The 21,187-nt window shown below is 42.4% G+C and overlaps 1 pseudogene, besides 1 other annotated feature; it reads left to right on the top strand.

Moving 5' to 3' along the window:
- On the top strand, window positions 7,882-8,361 carry RPL21P25 (ribosomal protein L21 pseudogene 25; annotated as a pseudogene).
- Window positions 10,927-11,221: an enhancer, noted in NCBI's record as "tiled region #6906; HepG2 Activating DNase unmatched - State 1:Tss". NCBI's record gives its function as "activates a minimal TATA promoter and a strong SV40 promoter by Sharpr-MPRA in HepG2 cells {active_cell/tissue: HepG2}" and the evidence as "EXISTENCE:reporter gene assay evidence [ECO:0000049][PMID:27701403]".

Genomic DNA, 21,187 nt, shown 5'->3' with positions numbered 1-21,187 from the left:
TCCCTTCAGTGCTCAACAAGTGCTGAAGTTAGAGGTCAAGGATCCCATGTCTGTAATCCATTTGGGTCAGCCTCCGAGGACAAAAGGCAGAGTAAAGAAGTTGTGAATGGATCTGGAGGTGCAACTGAAAGATGTCCTGCACAAAAGCTCTGTAGACAAGTGATCAAAAAAACTTAAATGGCCAAAACTCTTATAAGAAGGTGTTCAACCTGATTCGTAATTAGGGAAATGCAAATTAAAGCCACATGACATAAAGGCAACAAGTGAGGCCAGGCGCAATGGCTCACGCCTATAGTCCCAGCACTTTGGAAGGTTGAGGCAGGTGGATCACCTGAGATCAGGAGTTCAAGACCAGCCTGGCCAATATGGTGAAACCCTGTCTCTACTAAAAATACAAAAATTAGCTGGGCATGGTAGCGGGTACCTGTAACCCCAGCTACTTGGGAGGCTGAGGAAGGAGAATTGCTTGAACCTGGGAGGCAAAGGTTGCAATGAGCTGAGATTGCACCATTGGACTCCAGCCTGGGTAACAGAGTGAGACTGTCTCAAAAATAAAATTAAAAAAAAATAAAAAGGCAACAAGTGTTGGTGAGGATATAGAGAAACTGGAACATTTGCACACTGTTGGTGAGAATGCAATATGGTGCAGCTGTTTGAAAAACAATATGGAGGTTACTAAAAAAAATGGAACTACTATATGATCCAGCAATTCCACTTCTGGGTAATGATCCAACTGAACTGAAATCAGGATCTCACACTTCTGGGTAAAGATCCAACTGAACTGAAATCAGGATCTCAAAAAGATATTAGCACTCTTATGTTCACTGCAGCACTATTCACAATAGCCATGATGTGCAAACAACCTAAAAGTCCATTGACAGATGAATGAAAAAAGGAAATGTGGTATATATATATACAAAGAAATACTCTTCAGCCTTAAAAAAAGAAGAAAATTCTGCAATATGCAACAACATGGATGAACCTAGAGGACATTATTCTAAGTGAAATATGACAGTTGCAGAAAACCAAATACTACAGAATTCCTCTTATGTATCTAAAATAGTCGAATTCATAGAATGAAAGAGTAGTTGCCAGGGGTGTGGGGAGGAGGAAGTGGAGAATGACTAATTGGTGGGCATAAAGTTCCAGTTAAGCAAGATGAATAAGCTCTGGAGATCAGCTGTACAACATTGTATCTATAGTCAACAATAAGTACTGTACACTTAGGAATTTGTTAAGAGGGTAGATTTCAGATTATGTGTTCTTACCACAATCCAACTAAGTTAACTTTTAAAAACGTCAGATTAACAAGAATTTAAAAGTCTGATAGTACCACATGTTGGCAAGGGTATGGAGCAATGGGAACTCTTCCACCACTAAGTACATCAATTGGTATGATTTTGAAAAATAATTTGGTGTTATATAATTCAGTTGACAATACTCTCAGGCTATGACCCAACAATTCCACTCCTGGGTATATATTCTAGAGAAACTGATGCCCAAGTCCTGAGGGAGGCATACACAAGCATACCTAAAGCAGCATTGTTTGTGGCTGGGTGCGGTGGCTCACGCCTGTAATCCCAGCACTTTGGGAGGCCGAGGCAGGCAGATCACAAGGTCAGGAGATCAAGACCATCCTGGCTAACACCGTGAAACCCCGTCTCTACTATAAATACAAAAAATTAGCCAGGCGTGGTGGTGGGTGCTTGTAGTCCCAGCTACTCGGGAGGCTGAGGCAGGAGAATGGTGTGAACCCGGGAGGCGGAGCTTGCAGTGAGCCGAGATCGCGCCACTGCACTCCAGCCTGGGTGATAGAGCGAGACTCCATCTCAAAAAAAAAAAAAAAAAAAAAAAGCAGCACTGTTTTCAATAACATGATGGGAACAACCCAAATGTCCACAAACTGTAGAATGAATAGATAAAATGTGCTATATCCACATGATGAGATTCTACTCAACATTAATAACATTGCAACTCACAACAATACAAATGAATCTCAATGTATTGCTGATTGAAAATAGCAAGACATAAAAAGTACATAATGTGTGATTAAATTTACATTAAATTTAAAACAGAGAAAACTAAGTTAAATCATGTATGCATACATACGTAGGTGATAAAAATATAAAACAAAGCAAGAGAATGATCTCGTAAAGGTCAGAATAGTAGTTACGCCTAAGGAGAGGGAAGAGGTAGATGAACAGATCAAAGGGACAGGAGGTGCTGGGGAATAGTCCGAGGCTGCTGGAAGTGTTCTATTTCTTTATAAGGACGTGTCATATTTTACAAAAAAAAAATTATTTTAAAGGGTGACCACTAGAAAACTGATTGGAAGCTTTGTGGGCATGGGTAAGGCTTAATAACTGGTCAACTTAACTGCAGAATGACTGATTTTGTTCACTGCTAAATCCCTGGTCCCTTGAACAGTTTTTACTTGTTGTAGGTGCTCAGCAAATATTTTTTAAATGAATGAATGAATGTTTTAGGTACATCTTTTTGTGTTAATAAGATCCATCTGTGCCTCACCTACCATAAAGTAGGCTGGGGGAAGCTCTTAGGTTCCGCATACCTTGGAGTTATAGACTTGACTGAGAATTCAGTCTGTGGGTCTATTGGTCTCTGAGGTAGCCTAAGGGAACTGTACTAAGACAAATCTTGCTATGCCTCATATCCACATCCTTGATGCTAAATAAATATTTTTGTTTACTTCTGCTAATACTCATTTTAGCTGGTACTTTGACTGCAAAACAATAGAAGTTCTTTAGAGCAGGGATTATTATACTGATTTAATAGATGAGGACCATGGTGGACATGGTTCATTTTCTTTCCATCCACTCTACTCATCCTCAGTTGTGTAGCCTAGGCTGATGGATGAGATTTAACTCCACTTTCAATTCCAGAGGTGGACCTTGATTAGCTGAGAACAGGGGTTGGCAGGTTTTTTTGTTTTTTTTTCTGAAAGGCCCAATTGGTAAATATTTTAGGCTTTGCAGGCCATTAGATCTCTTTCCCAATTACTCAACTTTGCCAATGTAGCATGAAAGAAGCTATAGATAATCCATACACAAATGAACATTTGTGTGTTCTAAAACCAGTTTATTTACAAAAACATGTGGCAGGCTGGATTTGGCCCATGACCCCCAGTTTGCCGGTCCCTGGCCTAGAGCTGCCTTTCTCAACTAGGTTCCTCATCTGAACTACTCAACACAGAAAATTGTTGAAATTTTTGCAAGTACAAAGTTCTTGATTTTCCCAAGTGCAGAAAAGACTCTAGAGCAGTGATTCTCAAAGTGTGGTCTCCAGTCCTGCAGCTGTTATCCCCTACTGACTCCAGTAGGGGTGGCACTGTGTCAAAGAGACCCAGAGATGGTGAATGAGACATAGAGTTTACTGGGGGGACTTACATACAGGGATGGTCTAGTGGTAGCAGCCTAGAGAGGAGAACCGCTACCATTTGTAAAAAGCATGCAGTTTATGTAGCATTTTCACTTAGTACCTATGATGGGTAATACTGAGTGTTAACTTGATTGGATTGAAGGATACAAAGTATTGATCCTGGGTGTGTCTGTGAGGGTGTTGCCAAAGGAGATGAACATTTGAGTAAGCAGGTTGGGGAAGGCAGACCCACCCTTAATCTGGGTGGGCACAACGTAATCAGCTGCCAGTGCGGCTAGAATATAAGCAGGCAGAAAAATGTGAAAAGATAGCCTTCCCTAGCCTCGCAGGCTACATCTTTCTCCCGTTCTGGATGCTTCCTGCCAGAATATTGGACTCCAAGTTCTTCAGTTTTGGAACTGGGGCTGGCTCTCCTTGCTCCTCAGCCTGCAGACAGCCTATTGTGGGACCTTGTGATTGTGTGAGTTAATACTTAATAAACTCATTATATATATATATGTGTGTGTGTGTGTGTGTGTGTGTGTGTGTGTATATGTGTGTGTATATACACACACACACACACACACATATTCCATTAGTTCCGTCCCTCTAGAGAACCCTAATACAATACCCTCCTGCCAGCAACCTCTACCTGACAACCTTCATGTAACCCAAAACAAAGGGCCTCAGTCTCCACACGGCCAACATTCCAAGGGATGGGCCATGGATTCAAATGTCCTTCATAGATAGTAAGTGAACCTCTGGGTTGGTCCCTCCTAGATTCCTTAGCCCAGTACTCTGAACACACATTCTTCTTAGGCCATAGGGTCGTTCTCAGGTTATGCTTAAGTTATTGCTGTCAGGTGCATCTGCCATCCAGCAGCATTGGCATCACCTGATTGCTGATAGTAATGTAAAGGCTTAAAGATCCACCCCTGAGTCAGCAACTGTGGTCATGGAGCGCAGCAATCTGTGTTTTAACAAGCCCTTCAGGGGATTCTGAGCACACTCAAGTTTGAGGATTATTCTCCCAGACTGAGTCTAGAATCATCAAGAAAATGTCTTTTCACTTGCCAAAGTGTCAATTCAGAAGTACAGCTAATCAGTAAATGGGATTCCCATAATCCTAGAGATTAGTTTAGGTGTGATCTAATACTGGGAACATTTTCAAAATACTTAACAACCAGCATAACAAGGCCCCAACCAATCAGGGTAGGGACTAGCCGTGGCACCAGAGCAGGGTTCTGAAGGGCCCTGTCACGCACGTCCGTGTGAAGTGACCACCAAACAGGCTTTGTGTGAGCAACAAGGCTGTTTATTTCACCTGGGTGCAGGCAGGGTGAGTCCGAAAAGAGTCAGTGAAGGGAGACGGGTGGGGCCGTTTTATAGGATTTGGGTAGGTAGTGGAAAATTACAGTCAAAGGGGTTTTTTCTCTTGCATGCAGGAGCAGGGGTCACAAGGTGCTCAGTGGGGGAGCTTCTGAGCCAGGAGAAGGAATTTCACAAGTTTAGTCGCTCATTCAAGGTGGGACAGGAACAAATCACAATGTGTGGAACGTTATCAGTTAAGGCAGGAACCAGCCATTTTCACTTCTTTTGTGATTCTTCACTTGCTTCAGGCCATCTGGATGTATACGTGCAGGTCACAGGGGATATATGATGGCTTAGCTTGGGCTCAGAGGCCTGACAGGCCCCTCTGACACCAAACATTAATCCTTTCCTTGCTTAAGCATGAAGTGGCCTGTGGGGTTCTGGGTGGGAAGCTAGAGTGGCTAGTGTAGGAAGGAGACATTTGAGTATCAAATAGTCACTGGGTACTTAAGTAGCTACTTGGCAGTTGTATCAAAATGTCTCACTATTTTAACAACTGGTTCAGCTGTACCAGTGCATACCAGCAGCAAAGCTGTCCTGGTTCAATTGGCACAAGCCTCAAGCCTTACCTTCAGTGATTGTGGAAACAGTGCCCTGCTCCTCCTCTGTGTGATAAAGCCTGTACTCTATAAGACACCAACCTAAAGATGATGGCAACGCAGGGAGGAGTACCCAGCCTAGAGAAATCACAGAGCAATGAAGCTGCAACTCTGAAGGAGCCATGCCCAAAGCTCCTCCTACTTTTGGATGTTTCATTTACATGACCCAGTTTGAGTTGAATTTTCTAGCTTTTACATCTGAAAGCATTGTATCAGTAAAAACAAAAATAAGGCCCATAAAGGTATCGGAAGGAAAGCATGTTTCCAAGGGCCTGACCAAAATGTTCCCCTTTCTTCCTGAAGTTCTGGGTAATGCAGATCCTCCCTTCTTCACTGGGGTGTCTGACGGGAAACAGCTCAGGCACCCTTTCGCCCCAGTTGTGTGTTGGGCTGGCTGCAATGCTTGTTTATTAGCGAAATGCATCTGATCAGAGAGGCCCGCGTGACAAGTTCATTACATATCAATTTAATTAGCTGATTTACATTTAATTTACATTTCAATTAATGTATTTAGCAACCAAACACAGCCTTAATAGGGTAATTGCCTGTTAGGCAATATGTAAAAGAATAAACAGTTGCATTCTGAGGAAGAATTCCTATTTTCAAATTTTTATTACCATAAATAACTGAAATAATTATTGCTCTTAAGGGCCACGTCCTCGTTTCCTTCTGGGTCTAATTATAAAGACTTAGTACCTCATTAAGCAAAATGGTTTCAGAGTCACAGAAAAACATCACTCCAATCGTGACTCATTAGTTTCAACAAAAGAGGGGGAAACTGTGAAGTAGGCACATTTGGGCGACTGGGGGATTTAACTGTTAATACAGGCAGTTGTCCTTGTCCTTGTCTTAAAAAGCCTTGTCCTTCCGGAGCCACACCTTCATGACGGCAGACGGTGTTTTTGTCCTGCACACCTGTTGGGATGTTGGTGTGAGGGTTACACAGACAGCCTATATTAAGTATTTTTAGAGACAAGGAATTCACTACCTCCTGCGGCAGGCATTATCAAGCTCTGGGCTTTAAAAGTTCTTCCTTTATTAAGATAAAATCTGTCCCCCACCTTAAAAGAATTCTAGTAGGTGCCTGTTAGAGAAGATGCTTTGCCAGAGGCATAGTTATTATACAGTCATAATTATTTAATAAGAGAAACTGGCTGCTATGTCACAGAATAGACGGGAACAGAAATGAGCTGGGAACTGCGGAAGGAAGGGCAGCTGGCCTGAGAAATGTGGAGAATGAGGTTCCGTACCTTGAGAGTTCAAGAGGAAAAAGCTGCCCTACACCCAGAGTGAATAAATACTAGGAGAGAGGAAGGGACAGAGCTTTGGGTCTGGGCAGAGTCAGATACCAGGACCACAGTGCAAACGGGACTGGCTTGTTCCTTGAGAAGTGGCTGTGTGTCTTCCAGGAAGTTGCATTCCTAGGAAATTTGCTGAACGAACAAGTGCTAAGAACTGAAAACGCTAGGCCAAAAGGATGGGGTCTCTTTAGGCTGGGGTTATCCCTCCTCAAGGAACCATGGCAAGCGTTACTGTCAACTCTGCAGTGGCATCTTTCGTACTCTGTTGGGCTGTCTTCAACAGTGCCACCACGTGGGAGCAGGACGCCACGGCAGGAGGGGAACACGCGGGCCTTCTGTCTGCATTTGCCTGTGAGTACCTTAATGGACCCCTGTTTCCATATGATTCTTACTCAGAGGAATGAAGGGAAAGCGCGGGAAAGAGGAACTGGACTTCCAGAAAAAACTCTTATGGGAGGTGCGAGATGGAGGAATTTGATTATTTAATTCTAAAAAAAGGGACCATATTTACATCCTAATATTTTGAAAGCATTCATCCCAGTTATATGACGAGTCTAGTCACTCTAGTCTGGATCAGGTTTGTTGATAGCCTTTTAAAAACAGATAGCAAGTTCTGAAGGCTGAGTTCAGAGTTGGTGAGCACGGTTCATGGGAAAGGAGGCTCTCAGGATGGCAGCAGCCGGGCCTCACCAGCAGGGGGCGTCTGAACTCCTCTTGTTCTCCCTGGTATTTCTCTGATAAGCTTCAGGCAGTGACTCTCATAGCCCTACCAGACTCAACCCTCCTTTTTTTATAACAAATATTTTGTAACGCTTTCTTCACTATTTAAAAATCACAGAAAATATAACTTGCCTTCACACAACTTTTTAAAACATGTAAATAATATTCTAACTGTAATACAAAAGAAAAATAAAAGCGAAGTAATGTGCAATAGAATAATAATGTATTTCCATATCTAAATGATCTGGGATGGCCACATAAAAAGACTTAATAGTGTATGCTTTTCATCTCTTCATAAAATTACCCAAATGTGAGAACTGCAAATGCTAACTGACTCAATCAGGAATGTTGAATTGGTGATTCAAATACTACCACTAGCTGCAAATAATATGCTTTGCTAAGCTCTTGTACAACTCCTGGTAGAGTTCTGAACAAAACAAAATATAGTCTTCTTTTGATTTAAAAGGAGGTTGCACCTTTTGGCTGGAACTGCCATCTTCCAGTAATTTGCCAAAATGACGCAGACAAAGGGAAAGAGGAGAGGCACCTGATACATATTCTCAAATCCGTTTAGAAAGCATGGAGTTGTTTCTTTGGCCACATACATGTGAATCTACAAGAAAGGCGCTATTCTAGACATCAAGGGAATGGGCACTGTTCAAAAAGGAATGCCCCATAAATGTCACCATGGCTAAACTGGAAGAGTCTACAGTGTCACCAGGCATGCTGTTGGCATATTGCAAACAAACAAGTTAAGGGCAAGATTGTCGCCAAGAGAACAAATGTGCATATTGAGCATATTAAGCGCTCTGAGAGCCAAGGTAGCTTCCTGAAATGCATGAAGGAAAGGATCAGAAAAAGAATGAAACCAAAGAGAAAGTCACCTAGGTTCAACTGAAGTGCCAGCCTGCTCCACCCAGAGAGGCACACTTTGTGACAATCAGTGAAAAGGAGCCTGAGCTGCTGGAACCTCTTCCTTATGATTCATGGTGTAACAGGTGTAAATAATAAATAAATACAAGACCTCTGGACTATTAAAAAAGAAGTTGCATTCCTGAAAAATGTTTGCTGTATTAAAGCCATGCAAAAAAGACTGAGTTTATATGTAAAATGAAATTAAGCTAAAAACTCAACTATTTATAAGCAAGTTTTCCACCTATATGAATATGTGAAGGGGCCAGGGGAGGTGGTTCACACCTGTAATCCCAGCACTTTGGGAGGTGGAGAGGGAGGATTGCTTGAGCTCAGGAGTTTGAGACTAGCTTGGGCAACATGGTGAAACCCCATCTCTACAAAAAATACAAAAAATAGCCAGGTGTGGTGGCATGCGTCTGTAGTTCCAGCTACTCAAGAGCTTGAGATGGCAGAATCCCTTGAGTTCAGGTGTCAGAGGTAGCAGTGAGCCGAGATCGTGCCACAGCACTCCAGTCTGGGTGACAGAGCTAGACCCTGTCTTTAAAATAAAAAATAAAAAGAATATGTGAAGGGATAAGACTTGGAGTTGCTGAACAATTCTTTTTTTTTTTTTTTTTTTTGAGACGGAGTCTTGCTCTGTCGCCAGGCTGGAGTGCAGTGGCATGATCTCGGCTCACTGCACCTCCGCCTCCCAGGTTCAAGCGATTCCCCTGCCTCAGCCTCCCGAGTAGCTGGGACTACAGGCGTGAGCCACCATGCCCGGCTAATTTTTTGTATTTTAGTAGAGATGAGGTTTCACCATGTTGGCCAGGATGGTCTCAATCTCCTGATCTTGTGATCCACCTGCCTGGGCCTCTCAAAGTGCTGAGATTACAGGTGTGAGCCACCACACCCTGGCCTGAACAATTCTTTACTGTGTAGGAATACCTAGCACTTATGAGTCTTGCTTACTAGGTACCAGGAGCATCACTCAATTGTGACAACCATTTTTAAATGGCCCACAAATTCCTGAAACACTTACAGGGTGAAATCATCCTTATGGAGAATCGCTTGCCTACAGCAATGCAGATTTATGCCTCTGTTTCCCTTCCTTAGAACCCCTGTTCCCTTTGAACTAGGATTTCTGTCCTGAACCCCAACTTCCTGCCTGATTCTTGTCATTGCCAATGCCTGGGGATGTAGGACTGATTCTGCTCCTAAATTCTCAGCTGTTCCCTACCGGAAAGATTACTCAGGGCTACCATACAGACTATCATCACACTCTGAAGATTGTGCAAACTACTTTGCCTGGCTTGTGGCCTTCTTTATGCCATGAGTGGGTCCTGCTTGTCCACCTTGGGAACTGTAGCCCATGTGATAGTGTCCCACCCCTATTACCCAGCTTCCCCATGTCTTTGCTCACCGGCCTGACTTCCAACAGCCAGCACCTGTGATTTTCGGCTTGCTTTACCTACTGAAGCTCACTCTACCCACATGCCAGGCCAGAAGGGCAGGAATTAACACTCTCAAACAATGGCTGATGAGAACAGGTGCTTAAAGACCCCAGTTTCCCCACTCCTTGGGTGGGATAATTCTGAGGCATATATTCTAATTAGCTATCAGTGTTATTTAATATGATTGTACTCCAGTTGCCCACAGTGAAAATTTGCTTAATAACGCACCCTTTGGTGGCTTCCTTCCTACCCTAATTGGTGTTTCCTGGGATCACCTCCTCAGTAAACTACTTACACCCAAATAATTGTCTGAGGGTTCTGAGGCATCCCAAACTAAGACAGGAACTCTGGGAGAACAAAGCTTCCAGAAATCCTGTCTATATAAGAACACACAGATCTTCTTATTTCTGGGGAGACATAAAAAAGACTCTGAGGCCAGATGGCTGAGCCCCAGATTACTGGCACTCAAGCAAATTGGAACTCAGGATGCCCTTAAGCAGAATCTGTGGGCTCTTAAGGAATTCATTCTAAAAGAGGAGGCCCATGACTTCTATCTTGGAATTTTTGTAGGTTTGTGCGTTGGCAGGGAGGAATCATGTTTTTTACTTGATTCTGGATGCTACTGATCATCTTCCAAAATTATCTTGCAACTTGGCCTTGGATGACTCACATTCATCAAGAATGAATTTGAAAATCAGAAAGGGCATTCATCTTTATAAATAACTTTTTAGGAGATTACCAGGTTCCCTGACATCTGACTGAAGGAGATGTTTTCACTGGGTGGAGAGATTCTCCCTTCAATATATCAATATACTTTTTTTTTTTTTTTTTTTTTGGTAGAGACAGGGTCTCTCTATGTTGCCCAGGCTAATATCGAACTCCTGGCCTCAATTAAGCCTACCACGTCCCCCTCCCAAAGAGCTGGGATTACAGGCATGAGCCATTGCACCCAGCCTCAAGACCCTTGTTGTATGGAGAACAGAGAAGCATGGGTACAAGCAAAGGGACAGCTCTAAAGAGGTACAGTAATGACAGTGGAGGTGCAGGTCACCATTCTTTTGCCACAGTAGCTACACCAGTTGACAAGACCACAAAGAGGTGGAGTGGAGAGTGACTGTGGTACCCATGCCAGATGGCTTCAGTGGCTCCTGAGGACACCCTTAGCCACCCAAGAGCAGTAGGGAAGGGAAGGATCTGGGGACAGGCTCTGAAATCCCAGTGGCTCTGCCAAGTGAGGGTTTGAGTGAGAGGCCTAACTATACTCTTATTCATCAGCAGGGCTGGGAGAGTATACTCTGATGGAGCAAGGGTCACATTTTGCTTTGGTTAGCACATTCCAAAGCTGCCCTGTAACTGCAAAGAAAACAGGGGCCTTTTTTTCCCTCTTTACAGTTTATTGGCAAAGTATCAAATGTTTTATAGGGCAAATGCTACATCCGTCCAGCTGTGCTCAGCAGTTACTGCCAGCAAGGATGTTTCAGTTGGGACTCACACTAGGGTAACTTCGGGTTTAAAAGCCTGCCTCTGAATGCGTCTCTTCATGCCCTTTAAATGTTGCAAATCAAAGAGGCACACAGGGAGGCTTGGTGACTGGCAAACTTCCTGCCATGGTGATGAGAATATAGCCCTTTGTGTAGCTAGAACAGCTAGGGGTGAAGAGGAGAGAGGAACACAGGCAGCTCATCCAGGAGGTCCAAAGCCCCAACAGACAAGCAGAGCAAATTCCTCAGGCTGAGGTCAGGCTGGGGTACTGATGATACCTCACCAACTACCAACAGTGTCAGGCAGCTGCTTCTTTACAGGCAGCAGTGCCCTTGTTCCTGCTCATCCTCTCCTTCCTTTCCCTCGCTTTCACATTGCTTCAGTCAACCTTCATCTAGGGCCCATGATATGACAGTGTGCGCTTATGGGACAAACCAACAGATTTATTTTAGGTTCACGAGGCATCAGAACCCCTAACTCCTAACTTGCACTGGCCCCTTCCCCAGAATTGTGATCCCCTGATACCATGTTCTTATACTTTTCTTTCTTTCTTTTTTTTTCTTGTTTTTGAGATGGAGTCTTGCTCTGTCTCCCAGGCTGGAGTGCATTCAGCGGAGCAATCTCGGCTCACTGCAAGCTCTGCCTCCTGGGTTCAAGCGATTCTCCTGCCTCAGTCTCCCGAGTAGCTGGGACTACAGGCACCCACCTCCATGCCCGGCTAATCTTTTGTATTTTTAATACAGAGGGGGTTTTACTGTGTTAGCCAGGATGGTCTTGCTCTCCTGACCTCGTGATCCACCTGCCTCGGCCTCCCAAAGTGTTGGGATTACAGGTGTGAGCCACTGTGCCTGGCCCATTCTTATACATTTCTAAAGGAAGATATTTTAATGGAAGTCGTCTGAGATCCTTGTCATTTTCTATGCCAAATTCCTTCCCCTCCACCTCAGTCACCTTCACATATGGAAGGAATGAAGTATCCATGGGCATTTTTGGGACCCAGCTAAAGGGAAGTTGAGTGATGTTTGGGTTTAGTGGGCTATGTTTATGTGATTCACAGTCACTTCCCATATAAAATTCGGTATTGTTAGCCTTCTTGTGTTGGAATGGCTTCTAGGAATACAGCTGTGGTCCACTATACTCACTTGCCCAGTGACGTGACTCACAGGTGCATAGCCTCCACAACACAGACATCGGCCACAAACTGGTTAATGAGTGCTGTCAATTCAGAGTGTGCAGAATTAGTACTGCATGAGGAAGTGCAAAATGCCTCGAAATCTTATAGCACGTAATAAAAGAAAACTGGTGGTGGTTTTTAAAACAACAGTCTGAAAAATTTATAAGACATGAGTAGTAAGGAGTTGTGAAACTAAAATAAACTTTTCTGAATTCTGTAAAATAAAAATCTAATTGTATCAATCATGCTAGAAGAAAGACTGAATTATCTTTTTGTTCTCTCAAAAGAAAAAATCTTCAAAAAATTGTTGTCAAATGAAGGGGTGATCAAAGAATAAACACAAGAAATAGAGAAAGGATATAGTGATATAACAAGCAGTTAATTAATAAAAATAGACTGTAATTTTTCTGGATTTTGAGACTTTAAAAATTCAATTTGTGATGTATTCCCTCATTCTAAATATATATTCACTTCCATACTTATAATTTTTTCATTAATATATTTTGTATTCTTCTTATTAAAGGGTGCTCTCCCAATTATGTAAACTTCATGCTCCATGAAACCACCTGGCCACCATCATGACTACTGGGAATAAAACAGTCAAGACCTGGCTCTTTGCCTGAAGGATCTCACAGGGCACAGGGCCAGCCTGATACAGAAGCCAACAATTACAGTGTCACCAGGAAGCACAAGGCCATCACCTCACTTCCTATCCCCAGCTCATTTTTTTTCTATTCAGAGATGACTTTTTGGGAGCACAGCCTACCCTGCTTACTCTCACAGTGCTTCCAGCCCTCATTCTCTCTCTCTCATTGTAGGTATTCTCTGACTTCCCTCCTCCTCACCACACTCAAACCTCAGAATTCATCCCACTTTGTTGTGAGAGGCACTTGTGTACCCTTTCTGACTGTACTAGGCTGTCCTGGTTATATCCTCTGGGTTTCTTTTTCCATACCTGTAGACAAGTCTTAAAGTTATTTTTCCAAAAAAGCATGATTCTTTCCAGAAGAGGAATTAGGCCATTTGCTTTAAAATAACAGTTTATTATTCCTCCTCAACTTGGTCTATCTCTGACTCCTTCCCTCCTCCTGCCATCCCAGTGAGCTGTGTTCTCTTACACATTTGATAAAATGATTAGGAAATATCAAGAACACATAGGAAGATTTAAAGGACTTAGGATCTCATTGGCTGTGAGAAAAGGGAACTCTCTCTAATCCCTGCCCTGCGTGTGGTGCTGGTCTGGGTCCTGTGGTGGGAGTGAGAAGTGATTATGGAGGAGCAGCGCCTTCTCTACTGGGCCAACTCTTCAGGAACAAAGGCTTTGTCTCATTCTTTTCTGTAGCCAACATGCTTGATGGCTCAAATTCAATAAGTATCTGCTGACATGGGGAGAGGGAAGGAGGGATGTGTTAACACTGAAATTACTTCATTTTATAAAAGAAATTGTCCAAAACCTTTCTGTGTACTAATTTCAAAGGAGTTTCCCCATTTTCTATTGCACATTCTCCTTCTCTCAGGCTTCATGGAAGATGTGTTAGTCTACCTGCTCAAAGCCAACTTCTCCATCTGTGCCTTTGACCCCAGACTTCTTGGTCTTCTAGACTAAGTCTTCTAGAAAGTTAGCTTCAATAATCATCTTTCCAATAATCATCTTCCTGATTTCAGGTTGCAGCCTCTCTCTCTCCTATCTCTTTCTGCTCAGCCTGTGACCGTACTTAAGTTTCTCCCATCCTAAAAGACACACATATGTGCACACACACACACACACACACTCCTTGACCATCTGAGTCATCCATAAGCTCGCCTTTCTTGCTTTCTTGTTCTTGTTCTTTTTTTTTTTTTTTGAGACAGGGTCTCTCACTCTGTCACCCAGGCTGGAGTGCAGTGGCATGATCTTGGCTCACTGCAGCCTCGACCTCCCAGACTTAAGTGATCCTCCCACTGCAGCCCCACCCCAAGTAGCTGGGACTACAGATGTGCACCACCACACCTGGCTGTTTTATATTTTGTGAAGATGGGGGTCTCACTGTTACCCAGACTGATCTCCACCTCCTGAGCTCAAGCAATCCTCCTGCCTTGGCCTCCCAAAGTGCTGGGGTTACAGGCATGAGCCACCACACCTGGCCAGCTTGCCGTTTTTCTGCATTTGCTTTCTCTACTGCCTTATTTGGAATTTATCCATATTCATCCATTAATTGAAACTTATCTGATGAAGGTCGCCAATGACCAATTTCCAAATTGATTAGACACTTTCAGTATTTATCTTACTTCCCAGCCTCATAACAGCATGAGACACTGATGATCCTCACTTCATCCTTGAAACTCTTTCCTCTATTGGCTTCCATGACACTAAACTCTGCTACTTACTCTTGAGCCAGCTCAGGTCTACTCCTTCACGGCCATGCAGCAAGGTGATTTCTGTGAACAGGGCCTTTTATTTTCCACATCTTCTTTCTCTTTTTTGGGACATTCTATTTCAATGTTCAAGCTATGGTGCTACAGCTTAAGAGGGCCACTGACCACCTGCTGCTATAATAAAAGAAGAATGAATGTGAATGGTAAGGCTGAATCTGAGCTGTGTTGTAGCTGTGTTCATGTCTGGAGGAAAAAGGGCTGAGTATCCTGGAAGAGAAAAGATATCATGGGGACTAAGAGGGGAGAGCAAATGTGTCCTAAGCAGCTCTAAGCCATTAAATGAACATTAAATAGAATCTTTGAGGAGGTAAATTTTGTCTCATTGTAAAAGAGAACCTGATAGCAGTCATAGACATGTAACACTGGAAAAGAGACCCTCATACTGCCAGGGCCCCTGATAGCCTGTGTGGTATCTTTTTGTGAATTAGAAAAAGGCACTTCTTTCTCTAGTTGGACAAAGCCTGACACAGTGGCTTCTGGGCCCCATCCATCTGTTGCTTTGGGCAGGTGCTCTGTGCAGAGCACAACCTGTACTATCATATGTAGCATCTCTGCAGAAGGCAGTGAGCTGTCTGTCACCAAACGCATTCAATTAATCACTGCATGGTCGTCTGTTTTGGTTCTGTAAAGAGTATTTCGTGACCACGTGCAGTAGCTCATGCCTGTAATCCTAATACTATGGGAGGCTGAGGCAAGCAGATAACTTGAGGCCAAGAGTTTGAGGCCAGCCTGGCCAAACTGGGGAAACCCCATCTCTACTAAAAATACAAAAATTAGCCAAGTGTGGTGGTGCGGGCTTGTAGTCTCAGCTGTTGGGAAGTGCTGAGGCATGAGAATCACTTGAATCTGAGAGGCAGAGGTTGCAGTGAGCCGAGATCACGCCACTGCACTCCACTCAGCAACAGAGCGAGACCCTGTCTCAAAAATAAAAAAAAGAGGCCAGGAGCAGTGGCTCACACCTGTAATCCCAGCACTTTGGGAGACCACGGTGGGCAGATCACAAGGTCAGGAGTTCGAGACCAGCCTGGCCAACATAGTGAAACCCCATCTCTGCTAAAAAATACAAAAAATAAGCCAGGCATGGTGGTGGGCGCCTGTAATCCCAGCTACTCGGGAGGCTGAGGCACAAGAATCGCTTGAACCCGGGAGGCGGAGGTTGCAGTGAGCCAAGATCGTGTCATTGCACTCCAGCCCAGGCAATAGTGTGAGGCTGTCTATATATATATATATATAAAATAAATATATGAGTATTTCTTTTTTTTTCTTTTTTGAGATGGAGTCTCATTCTGTCACCCAGGCTGGAGTGCAGTGGCATGATCTCGGCTCACTGCAAGCTCTGCCTCCTGGGTTCACGCCATTCTCCTGCCTCAGCCTCCCGAGTAGCTGGGACTACAGGTGCCCCCACTATGCCCGGCTAATTTTTTTTTTTTTTTGTATTTTTAGTAGAGACAGGGTTTCACCATGTTAGCCAGGCTGGTATCGATCTCCTGACCTCGTGATCCACCTGCCTTAACCTCCCAAAGTGCTGGGATTACAGGCGTGAGCCACTGCGCCTGGCCAAAAAGAGTATTTCTTATAGTCCTGTTTGATTATCTAATCCTGGCTATGAAGACGTGCTAGAAATAGAGCAAATGGGTGATGAAAGCAGGAAAAGATGGAGTGGGAGGTAGGGAGAGGGAGAGGGAGAGAGAGGAAGGTGAGGGGGAGAGAGATGAAAGTGAAGAGAGGTGGAGGAAGAATGGAGACACTGAATGATCCTTTTAGTCTTGCATTAAATATGCCCCAATCCAGCTAGATCTTCCCTGTTTTATGAGCAAATAGTTTCTAGTTGTGTCTGCCACAACATATTAATCACTATCCTTATCCTATTACTTTTCCTGTCTTGCTATTTGAGTCCCAATTTTGTTCCAGATGACATCATGGATGAACCATTATCGAGAACCATTAGTTTAAGCCAGTCATGAATGTTCCTTTCCCATTTGTGAAGTATTCCACCTTTAGCTTCCCCTCCACCTACAGAAGGCTGTGGCCTTAGCAAACCGAGGTCTGTTGGGAGGCTTTTGGAAAAGCTTTTACTTTTCCATAAAAAGGGACAAGCATGACTTGCCAGTTACTTGGTGCTGCCCATTCTACTTTTTGTGGTAGGAATGTAAACAAGCAGCCTGAAGACAACCAGCATGAGGACAAAAACAAACAAACTCCACCAAAACGTGCTGAAAACAGTAAAATGGACAAAAAGAAAAGGCCTGGGCCTTCAGACCAGATGATCCTCTCCAGCATCTCTCTCCTCATCACCTGCAGACTTCTTATTATATGAGATAATTAATTTTTTTTTTAATTTTTTTTTTTTTAAATTTTATAATCATTTTTTTAAGAAAGTGATAATTGAGTTTTCTATTTGCAACTAAAAGCAATTCACCTATTTGGCATTTTCTTATGCTGAAAGTTATTATTACTTTTTATCCCCTTGCAAAGAAGTATACCCCATGCTAATGTTCAGAGTTCAGATAATGAGTGTTTCTAGGATAAAAATGTTCAATGGATTTGATAAAAATTTTTAACTGGTATACTGGCTATACTAGCTTTGTTAGGACTGCCATTACAAAGTACCACAAACTGGATGGCTTAAGCAACAGAAATTAATTTCCTCACAGTTCTGGAGGCTAGAAGTCCAAGACAAAGGTGTTGGCAGGGTTTCTTCTGAGGTCTTTCTCTGTGGTTTGCAGATGGCTATCTTCTCTCTGTGTCTTCACATGGTCTTTTCTCTTTCTGTGTCTATGTCTTAATCTCCTCTTTTACAAGGATACCAGTCATGTTGGACTAGGGCCTACTCTAATAACTTTATTTAACCTTAATTACCTCTCTGAAGACCTTATCTGCAAATACAGACATATACTAAGTTACCGGGGTTAGGACTTCAACATGGAAATTTGGGGGAGACACAATCACATTGGTGATTAAAATTTGGCCAGGAATAGGGTTTATCACTCAGTTAGAACAATGGTTCACAGTCCTGACTAATTACCTGGGGAAAATTTAAAATATAGATGCTTATGCCTCACTTCCAAAGGTTCTCATTTAATTGGTCTGGAGTGGAATCAGATATGTATTTAATTTCAGGTGTTGTTAACCATTATTTCTTTAAGCAAGAGATAATTTGTATTAGTCCATTCTCACACAGCTATAAAGAACTATCTGAGATTGTGTAATTTATACAGAAAAGAGGTTTAATTGGTTAACAGTTCTGTAGGCTCTACCGGAAGCATGGCTGGAGAGGCCTCAGGAAATCAACAAGCATGGTGGAGTGGGAGAAGGACAGTGAAGGGGGAAGTGGTACACACTTTTCAACAACCAGATCTCATGAGACCTCACTAACTATCACAAGAACAGCAAGGGGGATATCCGTTTCCATGCCAGTCACCTCCCACCAGTTGGGATTACAATTCAACATTAAATTTGAGTGGGGACACAGAGCCAAACCATATCATGATTAAACCAATTAATCATATATAAGAGCTCAGAAGTTTGAGGGAGAGGTGAAAAGCCAACCTTATTCTGATGGCCAGAAGCTGAGAAAGCCTCAATACAGAAGAGTGGGTCTTCAGTATGGGAGTGGAGCTGCAATATCATTGAGAAATGGAGAAAGATCCAACTCATCTTCACTCTTCCTCCCTATAAGAACAAGTGGACTTTGGGAGTCCGAGGCAGGTGGATCACAATGTCAGGAGATCGAGGCCATCCTAGCTAACAGGGTGAAACTCCGTTTCTACTAAAAATTAAAAAAAATTAGCCAGGCATGGTGGTGTGCACCTGTAGTCCCAGCTACTTGGGAGGTTGAGGCAGGAGAATGGTGTGAACCTGGGAGGTGGAGCTTTCAGTGGAGCCGAGATTGCGCCACTGCACTCCAGCCTGGGAGACAGAGCAAGACTCTGGATGCTAAGAAACCATCCTTAATAGACACCATAGAGGAGTTATTTACCTGAGGGCATGGCTTAAAAAGTCCCCTGAGCTCACTGTTTCTGTTTTGATTTTAAAATTTGTAATTTCTATTGCAAAATTGATTCTGGACTAGTTTAAGAAATTTGCAGTCAGCCTATTTCACTTTTAACCCACCTGCAGATTTTGACCAAATTAAGTATTGCATAAGGTTCTTATTGCTGCTGTAGTATATTATCACAAACATAGAGGCTTAAAACAACACAAATTTGTTGTCTTATGGTTCTGGAAGTCAGAAATCTGAGATGAGTTCTACAGGGCCAAAATCCAGGTGTGGGCAGGGCTGGTTCTGGAGTCTCTAGGGGAGAAGCCATTCATTGCCTTTTCCAGTTTCTAAAGGCTGTCCTCATTCTTTGGTTCATTGCTCTGTATCACATCTTTTTTTTCTCCCTCTGCTTTCATCATATCACCTTCTTTCTGATTGACTCCTCTGCTTCCATTGCAACTACATGAGGCCCACCAGGAAAAACCAGAATAATCTCCCCATCGCAGATCATTAACTTGATCACTTATACAAAATCCCTTTTGTCATAGAAGTTAACATCGACAGGTTCTGGGAATTAGGATGCAGACATCTTTGGGAGGCCACTGTTCCATTTACCACAACTACTCAATGTCTCTGATACTTAAAACTTGGTAGTTGTGGACAAAAATAAATGGTATCAGAACCACTTATTTCAGAACCTTCCTTCCCCCAACAACTTCCTAGCTTCAACATCAGAAGGGAATTCTTCCTCATCCAAGGCTGTTATATGAGAAATTGGAAGTGATTCCTCATTGGCATATTACTTTCTAAAACTCAGCCAGAGGCATAACAATCTAATTATTGTTGATGGAACTAGCATATCTTACTTGGAGAGACAAGATTAATAAAACAAAACATTCTTCTGGGTATGTATTATTAAAGTTGTATAATGCATTTGAAGCCCAAACACATTTTTTCCAAGATGTACAATTCATATTGTTCTATACATGAAAATTCTTACTAGGTTATTCCTGCTATATCTTTTCATTCTAAACTATATAAGAAATTTAAGAAGTCTTGTTTCTCTTAAATCGTCCAAACCATTCTCAGTGATAAATAAATCTAGTAGTAGAACTCTAGATGTAGTACTATTTTAATAGATACAGAATCATATTAGATGACAGGAACATGCTTTCAGAAATGCAAATTTCTATTCAAATTCAAGATTATAGTAACATACAAAACATCTATTTTATTATAATAGTATAACAATTACTGTTGTCATCATGATTATCTGGTTGTATTGTATCTTAAGCTAATTGGTATGTTTGTTGTTGTTAATAATAAAATATGTGATAATGAGAGGCAGCATTTATAACAAATAGAAGGCTGCTTTTGGAGTTGGACAAATTTAGGTTTAAATTCCTGTTCTGCCAGGTACTATCTGTGTGACCTTGGGCAAGTTAATTTACTTGGACTTCGTTTCCTTATTTGTTAAATGGGGATAGAAATACCTCCCTGTAGAATTGTGTGAGGTTTACTCAGATGTATATAAAGTACCTTGTAGAATGCCTGATATATAATGGACTCTCACTGAATAGTTACTATGACTATTATTGTTGTTAATAATCTTATTACTAATGAAGACACTGATTTGTTGGAAATTACTTGCCTTGTGGAAAATGAACATGAATGAAAGACAACAGAGGTCTCTAAAAATGCCTCTGACCTTCTCATCAGTTGGCCAGGCAGCCTAAGCTACCGTCCTCACTTCGTAAATGCGAAGTAGACTATAAAAGAAAAAAATGCTCTAATTCATTCCCTCAAAGTATTCATCAAATGAGGTAGGATTTCTGGGAAAGATTAAGAGCTTACATTTTTCACTGGACTGATTTCCCATAAAATTTCATAGCGAATAAAAGGAGGGGAAGTGCAGAAGCAGTACTATTTGTTTTATCTGCTACCTGTGATTGTAAATCTTCCTGAGAGATCATTAATTATAATGGTGCTATTCATAATGCTGCTCTTCAGGCCATCCCCCCCCCCCACCCCAGATTTTATGCTTAGGGCTTAGAAATTGGCTGCTGAATTTCTGTGTGAGGCTGAAACTTAAATGCAATAACAGAGGGAACACTCTCAAACTGGTTATAACATGGCATAAGAATGATATGTAACCAGGGGTTTGGACTGAACTGGGGATGTTTTTGTTCATGATACACTGCTTCAGAACAGCTCAAAGAATTCAAAGAATAGCATAAACTCAAACAATCCAAATCAGGCGAGACCTCAAAACACCTCAAACTTGGACAGTGCTTATCTGAGAATATAAAGGAAAAGAACATAAACCTATTATCATTTAGCCTGTTATATTGGGCTATCATGGCTAAGGACTTCACATTTTTCACAAACTTGTAAGGAGGACCACACATACACAGAGAAAA

The sequence above is a fragment of the Homo sapiens genome, chromosome 1 (genome assembly GCF_000001405.40).
Source record: "Homo sapiens chromosome 1, GRCh38.p14 Primary Assembly".
Classification (NCBI taxonomy): domain Eukaryota; kingdom Metazoa; phylum Chordata; class Mammalia; order Primates; family Hominidae; genus Homo; species Homo sapiens.
The sequence above is the reverse complement of the archived record's forward strand: the minus strand, read 5'-3'. Positions and strand labels throughout refer to the sequence as shown.